The 13318-nt window shown below is 35.2% G+C and overlaps 1 long non-coding RNA gene across 1 annotated transcript in view, besides 1 other annotated feature; it reads right to left on the reverse strand.

Annotated features, from left to right (window-relative positions):
* Positions 1-13318, reverse strand: part of GORAB-AS1 (GORAB antisense RNA 1) — a 71293-nt gene that overhangs the window by 51220 nt on the left and 6755 nt on the right. The gene's annotated exons all lie outside the window — the stretch shown is intronic.
* Positions 6579-6779: a silencer, noted in NCBI's record as "peak452 fragment used in MPRA reporter construct". NCBI's record gives its function as "represses an SCP1 promoter by STARR-seq MPRAs in K562 erythroleukemia cells {active_cell/tissue: K562}" and the evidence as "EXISTENCE:reporter gene assay evidence [ECO:0000049][PMID:32103011]".

Consider the following 13318-nt stretch of genomic DNA (forward strand, 5'->3'; position numbering starts at 1 on the left):
GAAGGTTTCTCCATAGCTAAAGCTCCATCTGTTGCTTACAAAGTTATAATGCTTGAGGTAGGTACCCCATATGTCTTGCCCCTGCCCATGCTTTGAACTTTGTTCAAAGAAGGATGGTCAGTAACTTTTTTGTGAAGTAAAAGTGAACCCTCAAAACTCAATAATAAGAAAATATACAATCCAGCATAAAAATGGGCAAAAAGATTTGAATAGACATGTCACCAAAGAAATGATACAGATGGCAAATAAACACATGAAAAGATGCTCAACATTAGATGCCATTAGGGAAATGCGAATTAAAATCACAATGAGATACAACTATACACCTATTAAATGCCTAAATTTCTTTTTAATGATAATACCAAGTGCTGACAAAGATGTGGAGCAACTAGAACTCTCATATATTCCTGGTGGGAGTTCAAAACTACAGCAACAATAATCAAATTAGTGGTTGCCAGAGGCTGGGATTGGGGAAAAATGTTAATAGTTGTTTATATCCTGTGTGCTGGCAATACAAGTTTATGTTTTATTTCCTGTACTTCTGTTTATTTTTTAAAATTTCCTCCAAATAAATTTTTTTAAGAAAATGAAGAAATGTATACATTGTGCTAGGTAATCTCCATTTGCCCATCCAGATAAATTCACAATCTTTCTTTTTTCTGTTTTGTGCCCTGCGAGGCTGACTTCTATGAGCTACCTCAATCAGGCACTTTGCCCTCTGACTTCCTGTTGGGTTAGGCTAGTGGGAGGCACCAGCAGGAGTAAGTAGGTAGGAAGAGAAAAAGGATGGGGTATTTATTCCTCCAGCTCCCTCCCTGGCAGGCCACAGGATAGCAGTGGCTGACTTTCTCTACAAAGGGCCACAACTCCTGTCAAGGTACCTTCTACAACTACAACTTCAGCAAGCAACAGCCACCAAGTTCTTGGATTCTGGTTACCACTTCCTTTCCTTGTTCCTGTGGCCTTGGTGGTCATGGTTCCTAGCAGTTGCTATCATTCCTTGTTAATTTCCTTTAACATAGCTCACACCTTTGTAAATGGTCCCTTCATTAAATTTTTCTCAAATTATCCAATTTGAGTTTGTTTCTTTTTACATTACATGCTAATACCTCGCTAACTCTAGGTGCTCCACAATTTTAATCAAAAAGATCTTTCTTTTGGAATCTTTAACAAAAGCCTGTCAGATTAAAAAGTAGAAATTAATTCCCAGACTAAAAGTATATGCCATCAAGTGTAGCACATAATTATCTGTCTACCCATCCATTTTAGCATTAGGTAGCCAGACAAAGCCATTGCTGCTTACATACCTGGACTGCAGTATTTGACCATTCTGTTTGGCCATAGAATTATGCTAATCAATCAGTCTATATATATATATTTTTAAATGGCAAAACATGCATTGTACTCTAAATATGTTGAGCGCATTGCTTACTAAATTTCATAATATAACTTTTATTATCACTTATGGGAGAAACTTCTACGCTTCTTTTAAGTACTTTTAATATATATATATACACATACATACATATATATACATATATGTATATATATGTATATATATGTATGTATGTGTATATATATGTATATATGTATGTATGTGTGTATATATATATATATATATATGACACTGCATATCATTTCCCCCCTCTGTTTTGGTTCTGAAAAGATTCAGGGCAAAAGTATGATCCAGCTCTAGAAAGTATATGATACCTAGAAACATAGTGTTTGTGTACTACCCTCATTCTCTGCCATGTTTTCTTTTTCCTAGTCTTATCTTCCCTTAAATTACATTTCTTTATTTTCATATATATAATATAGTTGCACACATATGTATATATATTTACATGTGTGTATATATACATATATATATACATATATATATGTATATATACATATATATATTTGTGCCTGTGTATTTTTAAGGCATCTTAAATTCTTTCTGGCCTAAGCAGCAATATAAAGAGTACAAATTTATAGTTTCTTGACAGATGATTTCTATTAACTAAAGGCAAGAGTATAGTTTAGCCACATTACTATTTAATCTCCATTTTGTTAATGTAATCTAAAGATTATCTGGCCCAGAACTATTCTAACCTTAAAATGTGTGCCCTTTACAAACTGTCTACCCCTCTGAATATGTCTCTTATCCACATATGTTGAAAGAATCTTACATAATTTCAATTACTGTAAAGAACATTAAAATATATGAAATCATTGGCTAACTATAGTAATGACTAGGTTTCTTTAAAAAAATATATTTGAGGCATAAGAGTGTATTGACTGGCCAGGTGCCGTGGCTCACGCCTGTAATCCCAGCACTTTGGGAGGCCGAGGTGGATGGATCACGAGGTCAGGAGATTGAGACCATCCTGGCTAACACAGTGAAACCCCATCTCTACGAAAAATACAAAAAAATTAGCCGGGCATGGTGGCAGGCGCCTGTAGTCCCAGCTACTCGGGAGGCTGAGGCAGAATGGCGTGAACCTGGGAGGCGGCAGAGCTTGCAGTGAGCAGAGATCGTGCCACTGCACTCCAGCCTGGGTGACAGAGCGAGACTCCATCTCAAAAAAAAAAAAAAAAAAGTGTATTGACTAACAGCACAAACCCTTGAGTCAGACTGTCTGGGTTAACCCAATTACTAGATGTGGAATTTAAGTTACTTAAATTATTTGTTCCTCAGTTTCCTCATCTGAAAAATGGGACAGATAATAAGAAAGTTGTTGTGCAGATTCAATGAGATAATACAGAAGAACAGAAACTGTCAAAATAAATATTATTTACAATTATTTTAATAAAATACTTTTCCTGGAAAACATCTTTCCCAGAACTATCATACAAATGATGATGATTTTCAAGGATCCAACTCAAACCTCATTCAGAGCAAAGCAATGGTAAAAATTCTTTATGAATAACAAGAAACATAAAGTTACCCCTTTAATTTTTTCTATTTCTATTCATTTTGTCAAGCCACTGATTCTACAGCTACTTAAGTTTATGACTAGGCATTTTTTCAAAATGCTCCATTTGATAAGGTGACTAAATCTTGTCAAAACTGTCTCAGAAGGTCTATGCCCAAAGTAATGGTATTAGTCCATCTTACTCAGTTAAACATTTTTTCCTGTTAAACTTGGGCCTTTATAACTGATTGCTCCCATATTGCATGTTTAACAAATATAAAGTCATTCCTCTTCAGTAGTCTCCTGGAGCTGGTTGATGCCACTGGCATCAGCTGGTAAGGGGTGATTGTACATATCTCTTCTTAACTCCACAATTCACGTTTACACTATGGAAACCAACAATCAAATTTTTTGTTTTCTTTCTGGAGAGGCTTTTATTAAACATTACCAGCACATCACTGCCCCTAGTCTAAAAGAACCAGCCTTCACAAAGTCTCAGAGTTAGAATGCCCACAATATCTTTTATAATCGTAGCCCATACCAACAGCTAGTATTAGAGGCTATCCTGATTTGCATATATCAAAGAAATGTGGTGTTTAAAAAAACGGCAAAACAATTGGGTTTCTATCTGGAATGTTCATATTTGTGAATCTAGCTTTTTGTTCTGGTTTAAAATGTGAGCATAAGTCTTTTCAGTTGCAACAGTAACTACTGTAATGATGCTGTTTGATGATTCCTTATATCAAATTAACTTGAAAATATTGATACATGATGTAAGTACCCTTAGAAATTCAGTCTAATTTATTCAAAGAAGTTTAACTACAGAACATTTTATTTTGTTCTGGAAATCTTATAAAGGCATTTTGCCAAAAGCATTAAATATTTGATTTTACTTGTTAAGATTTGTAGGAACTCCTTTAAATTTATTATAAAAAATAACAGCTACAGCAACACATTTTCCCCTTCATTAAGGTAGTGAAAAAAAGAACTTTAAGAGCTTTTCCATAAAAATGCTCTAAAATATTCCATTAAAATTAAAAGGCAACTGCCATATCACACGTGGTCAGATTTAACTATTCATAGTTATTTTAGGTATATCAGCCCCCAAAGACCAAACTACCTGAGAGTCCAGCTGTGTTCAAAGTAGATACGGATCTACAGAACTCAACCTCTACAGTGGGATAGGGCTGGCACAAACAGTTGTTAGACCAGAGAAGAAAAGAAGAATTCTGAGTTCGATATTAGCATTCGACTCCCTGAAAAGCCTCACTTGATTACAGGATTATTGTTAAGGAAACAATCATCCCGTGATGATCAGGGAGAAATCTATGATAGAGCAAGGAGCTTAGAACAAAAGCCCAATTCCAGCAGTATTAGCCATGTGATCCCATGCCAGCAATGGTGAATTGAGAATCTTAGTATCAAGTAATTTTCTAGGTTGTGGGAAATAATTGCATTTCAGTTGAAATCTTAAACTCTCATAATTACAAAAAGTATCTTTAAAATACTACAACCATATGCATATTTGTTGTTAACTATTATACTCCTTCTGGTATGGTTCTCCTTGCCTAGTTTTGTTTTATAACAATATTTATGCATTTTAAATATGGTTTAAACATTAGTGGCCACAAAGATACATAGCTCCATGCATAAGTAACTTATTAATGTATTTTGTAGGGTGGTCCATTATACATATATTTAATTAGCTTTGGAATCAGATGTTAAATATTTGTTTTAATGTCCCGAACATCAACAAATAAAAGTACCCTATATTTTTCAAGAATTTATTATTGATTTTGAACTTAAATCTTAATCTTTTACCAGTATCCTTGTTAGGGTCACCCAGAACCCCAACAAACTGACATAATGTACTTTCACCTGAGTACCAGATGCTGATGTCTTTGGAATCTTATTTTTTGGTATAAAAGGGAGTTATCAAAAAAAAAAAAAAGGTAAGCTAATGACCACAATTTTTTTTTAAATGTGGACACAGTAAGACAGTAACTAAGAAAAAAAAAAAAAAGACTTGCCAATAAATGTTAACATTTCACTTTTTGAACCAGTGTTAGACACAGGATGTACGAACAGGAATATTTTTGTTTTGTTTGCTTTGTTTGTTTACAGTCAAGTAAAAAGTACAGGGCTTGAAACTATACATACCTGGGGTATAATTCTGGCTCCTCCATTTACTTATTTGCTTGACCCTGAGAAAGTCACTCAGCTTCAAGTAACATCTGTTTCATCAGATTTTCATTCAGACCCATCAAATACTGAAAAAACAAAAATAATAGACAAGACTTTCCTGACCTTATTTACATAAAAACAGCGCCAATGATGAATAAAGGGCAATGGTAACATTGGATTAGGCCATTGCCTTTCCTTGGAATATCCCTGTTAAGAACCTCTCAACCTTTGCTTTAGAATGATTTCCTACCATTAAGTACGGCTATAATGTTAATCCTAAAAGTGAAGGATTTCTTCAAATTCACACACACCCCATCACTACTTGTTTGCAGGCCAGTGGCCATTGGCTTTTCTTTCACCTAAACGAAAGAAGGAGCCATTTCCAGTCTACTCGCCTACTCATTTACTGTGAGCTCAACTCTGTTATTTGGAAAGCTGCCATACATTTATGAGAGCCTAAGGGATATTAGATGATTGTCATCTTTCTCTTGTTCCCTCGCCCCCCTCCACCAAATGCCCTGGCAAGGTTGCCGCACCTGGACATGGAATTCCCTGGAGAGTCCCTTGTTACCAGAATTGTGGAAAACTTGGACCGAGTTCAGAGAAGAGCTACTAAAATGGTTAAATGACTGAGGGGGCCAATTTATAAGGAACTCAGAAATGTTTGGTTAAGTGGTAATTACCCTAAAAAAGGTGTGGTGACTGGCATTAAGTTTAAATTCCAAGCCATACTTGGCAAGAGGCCTTCTTTCAGGCAGCCTCCACATTCAGAAATAGTCTGAAGAAGGAGTAGAATCTTACTTTTGCTTGAGCCTCCAACCCCTGCACAGGCTGCTTGGGTGGTATCCACATGCCAAGTGTAGTAACCTCTATAAACAAGCACAGAAGGCAACACCACTAACGCAGAAAGCTCATTTAAGACGACTGAAGAATGCTTAAAGGAAAGTCTTCCCAGGAATCAGGAAGAATAAGCCTGGGTTGTGAAAAGCCAGTCCCTACATCCCAGTTAAGCACCTATCACACCCCACACAGCCAATATCTGCTTGATGGGTGGTATCATTTAATAAGAACTGCTGGCTGAGTCCAAAGTGTACAGGTCTGTCTCAAATACACTGCTGGGAATATGGATTCCATTACCTGACAAGAGTTTCTACTTGACCAAAGAGGAAAACCTAAGAACAGGTATAATCGTCAAGAAAGCAGAGTGAGAAAATTTCTTATAACAGCATTTTCCAAAATGTCTTCTAGGTGATGTCAGTATGTGTTATACAAATTAAAAAAGAAAAGAACCTAAAAACTGGAATAAATGAAGTTAAACCTTGTGTGTTTATGATGTGTTTGTTTTTATTAACAGTAAAACCCCTCAGAGCCATTAATATGCCGAAGCCTATAGTGTGTCACTAAGAAGGGTAGAGTGTACACTATTTCCTAAATTCAGATTGGGCATGGAGTGCTTTATTCCAGAAGCACGGACCTTTGTATTCACTGTATTCACAGCCACTTCCATAATACCTTTTACAATGCTGCATTCAGTAAATGAGCAATGAAAATGAATGAGTCAGCCTAGGCTAGAACACAGGTCTTAAATCCCAATCTACTCCTCTTTCCACCACATTCATATTCTAGTTACGCTTTACTTACAATGAATCTTTTCACTCTATATAAATGAAATTAAATTTGTTAACCAGAAGCAGACTGACCTGAAGCTACTAAAGCTCAAGCTTGTGGGCCTCTCATCAGGCTTCCTAGTCCCAATAACTCAGTGTATATTTACAGTGCTGCATTTACTTTTTACTTAAGGAGGCCTCACAAAACTGTATAGCCTTCATGTCCTGCACAACCTGCTGCTATCATATAAAATGAAAATGAGTTTTCACCAAATGTCTAAGTTGTCACTGAGATGACTGAACTGAAATTATTGATGATATTATGGATGAAAATATACTCTGGATTACTCAGGCTCATCTTTAAGAGATTTCATACTCCTGTGTAGCTGAAATGTAGATTCGAATAAGAAATAAATCTGAGTTCATTCTTTCTATACTCTTCATAATTATATTAGCTTCAACCATCTCTTTTTTTTTTTTTTTTGAGACAGGGTCTCACTCTGCCGCCCAGGCTAGAATGCAGTGGCACAATCTCGGCTCACTGCAACATCCACCTCCCAGTTCAAGCGATTCTCCTGCCTCAGCCTCCCAATTAGCTGGTACTACAGGCATGCGCTGCCATGCCCGGCTAATTTTAGTAGAGATGGGGTTTTGCCGTGTTGGCCAGGCTGGTATCGAACTCCTCACCTCAGTTGATTGCCTGCCTTGGCCTCCCAAAGTACTGGGATTACAGTCAAAAGCCACCGCACCTGGCCCATCTCACTTCTTATATGCCTCTTAAGATGTTTATCACTTCTACTATTCTGTTGTTTCTTAAATTAACACCTTACCCAAAATGGTCTTTCTTCCAATCTCCCCACCCTTCAAAATTTTAAGACTATAAATAGTCACTATGAAAACATCACATTGTAAATATTACTACAATTCCTTCTGAAGACCACCAGAAGCTTCTGAATCATTTTTTTCTATGTAGTAATGACTGACACTTATAAACCTGAATCTATAGTGCCGCGATTTGGTGTTCTACTTCAATTCTTTAAAAACTTCACTTATATTAGCCTTGTCTTTTGAAATTTCCTGTTGGCTGCCTGAGATAAAATAATTTCCAGCCTAATCTTCATCTTATCTCCTATCCATTTGACATTATGCCTTCAAAATAATATTTTATTATTTAATCTAAATGAAGAACACTTGATTCCAGAACATTAAATCAATAACATTAACAGACTGACCTTTGTAATTCATTTTTATCATGATTGATAAGCCAGTTTAAGCTTTCACTATAGCTACCCAAAGCTTTGCAGATTCCTTCTAGACTATTCAGAATTTAACAGGATATTCTAACAACCACACACAAAAACATCACTTCCAACCTGTTTGTGTCTTAGAGCAAATCAGGGTTTTACTCCCTCATTTTTTCACAGCAAAAATTACAAAATTAGAAAACTGAGCACAAATGCCAAAAGTTTTACCTGCCTCTCTTTCTTTCCCATCATCTTACTGAGTTGGTGACTATGAAAATATGCTGAGCCCAAAATAGCAGTTGTGTACTGCCAGGTCAGCCTTAGTCATTTCCAAGCCAAGGGGGAATTGACAGATACCCCCTTTACAAGTCTAGTGTTTGTAAATATCAAATGAAATGACTTCATTCAGTCAATTATTTCTGGAGAAAGCTGGCAGAATAATGTGGTAATTAAACTGAGGACTGATGGAAACTATTAAACAGGAGGGCTATTTTGCCTGGCAGTTCTAGTTAATGCTTTTTATGTGTTTTTGTTTTTTAAAAATGCTTGAAATACTAGTTCACTTAAATGGAATTGCCTCTTCATTGAAATACATATTTAAAATGTTCCAGTGAAGACAGCATAAGTAAAAGACAGGAGAAACTCAATTTTCTTGTATCTTCTGAGTCATCAGTATGATTTCCTTATTTTAGATGAAATCAAAATGCAACTGTATTCAAATGTAAGTAGAACATAACCATATCCCAAAGCCAGAACACAATATAGTCAAGACTCAATTGCCTGGGTGCTGGGTATTCACTTCAGTCTGAATATGCTGTCTACAGCGTATGTTTGCCCAGTCTAGTCTAGTCTCCCTTAGGCTCCTCTAGCTGGCCACCAGCTTGATTCATCCATCCATCCACTCATTCATTCAACAATATTCAGCCACCATCTCCAGCACTGTTTCTAGTTACCTGTAATGCAGCAGTAAAAAAAAAAAAAAAAAAAAAAGTACTTTCCCACATATCTCTCCTGCCTACCTAATAGTTATGCACTCAGGGACAGACAAAAGTTCTAACAAAAAAGAACAAATTGGAATCCGAAAGCTATTGGAAAAGATCTCTGAATGCTTCCCAAAGGAAAATGCAAGCTGTTAAATTACTTGTAGCTCTTCATTTTTAAGTGATTTACATACAAATAACCACCATTTTCCCAGTCTTTGATGAATGGATACAAAGGTTTAAAAAAGGGAAACTTTTAATCCATTGGTAATAGTCTGAGAATGGATTAAGAGAAATTGGCAAAAATTAAGAATAACTTAGGAAAACCAAGCCAGAAAATTCCAAGGTAGAGGGAAACTGGAAGAGTTAATAACTAAAAACAGCTTCTGCTACACTTCATAAATATTTCTCATTTTTCTTTGTTAGAATACATATTTCTATCATATATTTAATAGTATGTGATAAACAAGCATACTGAATAAATAAGCATATTCTTTTGAAAATGCAAATATCATGGGGATGTGGAGTTAAGGACCATTAGTCATCCACATTCTGCTCATATGAGCTACATAAACATTTAATGAAATGTTTGCCCAGTTCTTAGCAAGCTTAGAAGTAATATGAAAGTAGATAGTAGTAGTTAAAATTGTAAATTCTGAAGTTATACTGCTCAAGTATTCAAGAGCTAATATTTGAATTCTAGCTCTATGACTAACAAGCTGTGAAAGCTTGGACAACTAACTTAATCTCTTGGTGCCTCAGTTTCCTCATCTACAAAATGGAATAATAGTTGAAACTTTGCTGGGACTTGCCCTTTTGACAAAAACAGAGTAAGTAACAGGGACTTAATTTATGTTTCCTTCTAAACCCAAAATAAACAAATAAATAGAATAACAATAGTTTTCAAGAGACAGGATATCAGGCAACCAAGGACAGTGATCTCTAAGAGATGAGAAAAAAATTGAGGCAAGACCTATGATTTCCCCAGTTGACTGCCTTGAGAGTCCTCAGGCCACAGCATGTGGCAGGGGAGGGACTGGACAAATCCTAGAGGACTCCTACTTGAGGAGGTGAAGCTCAGACTGCAAGAAGAGCAAGGAAACTAGAATTTGTATGACGAGGTATCAGAAAGGAGTGAGCTGCATAGAAGAAGAATCATGGAGACCAGCAGACAGTCTCCCTCAAGGTGATCAGCACATATAAGTGAGGAAACTACATGAGCCAGAAGCTATGATTTGACTGTTTGTCCCTTCCAAAACACATGTTAAAATTTAATTGCCAACAAAATGGTTTTGGAAGGTACAGCCTTTAAGAGGCGATTATGTCACAAGGGCTCCATCTGCATGGGCGGGTTTAATGCCTTTATAAAAGGGCTTCCAGGAGTGGGTTCTCCCTTGCTTGGCCCTTCCACTCTTCTATCATGTGAGGAACAGTTTTTCTCCCCTTCAAAGGACGTCATGTTTAACAGCCATCTTGGAAGTGAACACCAGGCCATTACCAACACCAAACCTGTTGGCACCTTGACCTTATATTTCCCAGCCTCCAGAACTGTGAAATAAATTTCTATTATTTATAAATTACCCAGTCTGTAGTATTCTGATATGGCAGCACAAAATGGGATAAAACACCAGGGAAAGAACTATGCAAAAACACCAGACCAGGCATAGTGCCTGTTCCCATCAATCAGACTGGAAACCTTTACAATTCCCAGAGCATTTGGTAGAGTATTCAGAAGATTCTTGCATTAGTAGCAGGAAATAATTAGTCCCTGACTAATCATTGAATAATTAGTCCTTGACTAACCATTGCTTTGGTTATGTCACAAATTCCAAAATCAAGGCTCAAAAAGATAAGCCTATTTTCAAGTAACTTAAGTGTATCTCAGAACAAAGCTCAAAAATATTTATAGGAAAAGAAAAATAGCTAGCACCCAACAAGGTAAAACTGACAATGTCTTGAACCAAACAAAAGATTACCAGTCATGCAAAGAAGTAGGAAAATAAAAATAATGAGTAAAAAGATTAATCAATTGAAACTTACCTAGAACTAACATAGTTATTAGAATCAGCAGACATGGATATTAATATTTGTCATTCCTGTATTCCATATGTTGAAAAGATATAAAAATACCTTAAATAATCAAAGATATAAAAACTATCTAAATTGAATATCTTGAGATGAGAACTACAACGTCTGTAATAAAAAAATATACTAGATTCAATTAATAAAAGATTAGACATTAGAGAAAAAATTATTAAAAATATTAGTGAACTTAAAGATGTAGCAATAGAAACTATACAAAATGAAGTAAAGAGAGAGAAAAAGATGTTAAAAATGAAATGACCATCAGTGAGCTACAGGAAAACTTCAAGTAGCTAACATGTAATGGAAGCCCCAAAAGAAGAGGAAAAAGGAAGGGAGAACAATAATATATTTAAGGAAATAATGGTCAGAAAACTTTCAAATTTGATGAAAACTATAAACCCAGACATTCAAGTATCTCAAAGAACCCGAAGTACAAAAAGAAAGAATGAAAGAAAGAAGAGAAAAAGAAAGAAAGAAAGAGAAAAGGAAAGAAAGACAAAGAGAGAAAAAAAGGAAGACAGAAAGAGAAAGAAAAAGAAGAAAAAAAAAAAAGAAAGCAAGGAAGCTACACACTATACCATGGTACATCATATTCAAATTGATCAAAAACAGTGATAAAGTAAAAATCTTAAAAGACAGAGAAAAAACACCCATTATGTAAGGAGCAAAGGTGATGATACAAATTTCTCATCAGAAACAATGCAAACTAGAAGAGTGGAAGAGAATAAAGTAATTTTTTAAAAAAAGTTAAACTAGAATTTTATGTCTAGTGAAATGTCTTTCGAAAACTAAGGCAAAATAAAGACTTTTCCTACAGATGAAAGCTGAAAGAATTAATCAGCAGCAGACCTACACTGTAAGAAATACTAAAAAAGAAAAAAAAAAAAAAAGCCCATCAGGTAGAATGAAAATGATGCCTGGTGGAAATATGAATCTACACAAAGAAGTGAAGAACACAGGAAATTTTATCTACATGTGTAAATATATATTTTTATTTAAATCTGTTTAAAAGTTAACTTACTATTTTAGCAAAAATGATAACATTGCAGTGTGGATTTTAAGACATACGTATAAATGAAAGGTATGAAACAATAGCATAAAGGCCAGGAGAGAAAAAGCAGAGGTGTATATTTATAAGGTTCTTATAGTACATGTGGTATGATACTACCTGAAGATAGACTATGATAAGTTAAAAATACATACCAAACCCTAGAGCAATTACTAAAATAACAAAACAAAGAATATAGCTAATAAGTTTATAAAGGAAATAGATACAGTCATTAGAAAAAGGAAAGAGGAAAAAGATATACCAAGGCTAATATTTAGCAAAAGAAAGTTACAGTGGCTATATTAATATCAGATAAAGTAGATTTCAGACCAAAATTAGGGGGAAGAAAAAGATCATTTCATTATGATAAATGAGTCTAAGAATCAAGAAGACATACAAACACAAACATTTATTCACCTGTTATTATTATAACAGAGTTTCAAGATACATGAAACAAAACTGAGATAACTGCAAGGATTAATGAACAAATCTACAGTTATAATAGGATATTTCTCATCTCTCAATAAATAATAGTACAAGGAGTCAGAAAATGAGTAAGGCTATAGAGGACTTAAAAACCTAATCTTGGGAGGCTGAGGCAGGCAGATCACCTGAGGTCGGGGGTTCAAGACCAACCTCACCAACATGGAGAAACCCCGTCTCTACTAAAAATACAAAAATTAGCTGGGCGTGGTGGTGCATGCCTGTAATCCCAGCTACTCAGGAGGCTGAGGCAGGAGAATCACTTGAACCTGGGAGGCAGAGGTTGCAGTGAGCTGAGATCATGCCATTGCACTCCAGCCTGGGCAACAAGAGCGAAACTCCAAAAAAAAAAAAAAAATTAAAGGGAAACTATATTATGAGACATTTAAGAAGTCTTAATAAATTTAAAAGGATTTAAATTATACAAATTAAATTTTGATGACATGGAACTAAAAATAGGAACCAATAAGAGAAAGTTCTCCAGAAAAGCTCCAAAATATTTGGAAACCAAATAACAAAATCTCAAATAATCCATGAATCAAAAAATCAAGAGGAAATAAAAAGGAATTTTGAATTGAATGAAAATAAAGACACAGTATATCAAAATTCATGGGATGCTGCTACAGTGATAGTTAGGGAAAATTTTATTGTATTAAGCACTTATTTAGAAAGGAAGAAAAGTTTTAAATTAATGAACTCAGTTTCCACCCTAAGAAACTAGGAAAAGAAAAGCAAATGAAATCCAAAGAAAGCGGAAGAAATACAACAGTAAAGATTAGAACAGAAATCA

This window comes from Homo sapiens, chromosome 1, assembly GCF_000001405.40.
Source record: "Homo sapiens chromosome 1, GRCh38.p14 Primary Assembly".
Taxonomy (NCBI): domain Eukaryota; kingdom Metazoa; phylum Chordata; class Mammalia; order Primates; family Hominidae; genus Homo; species Homo sapiens.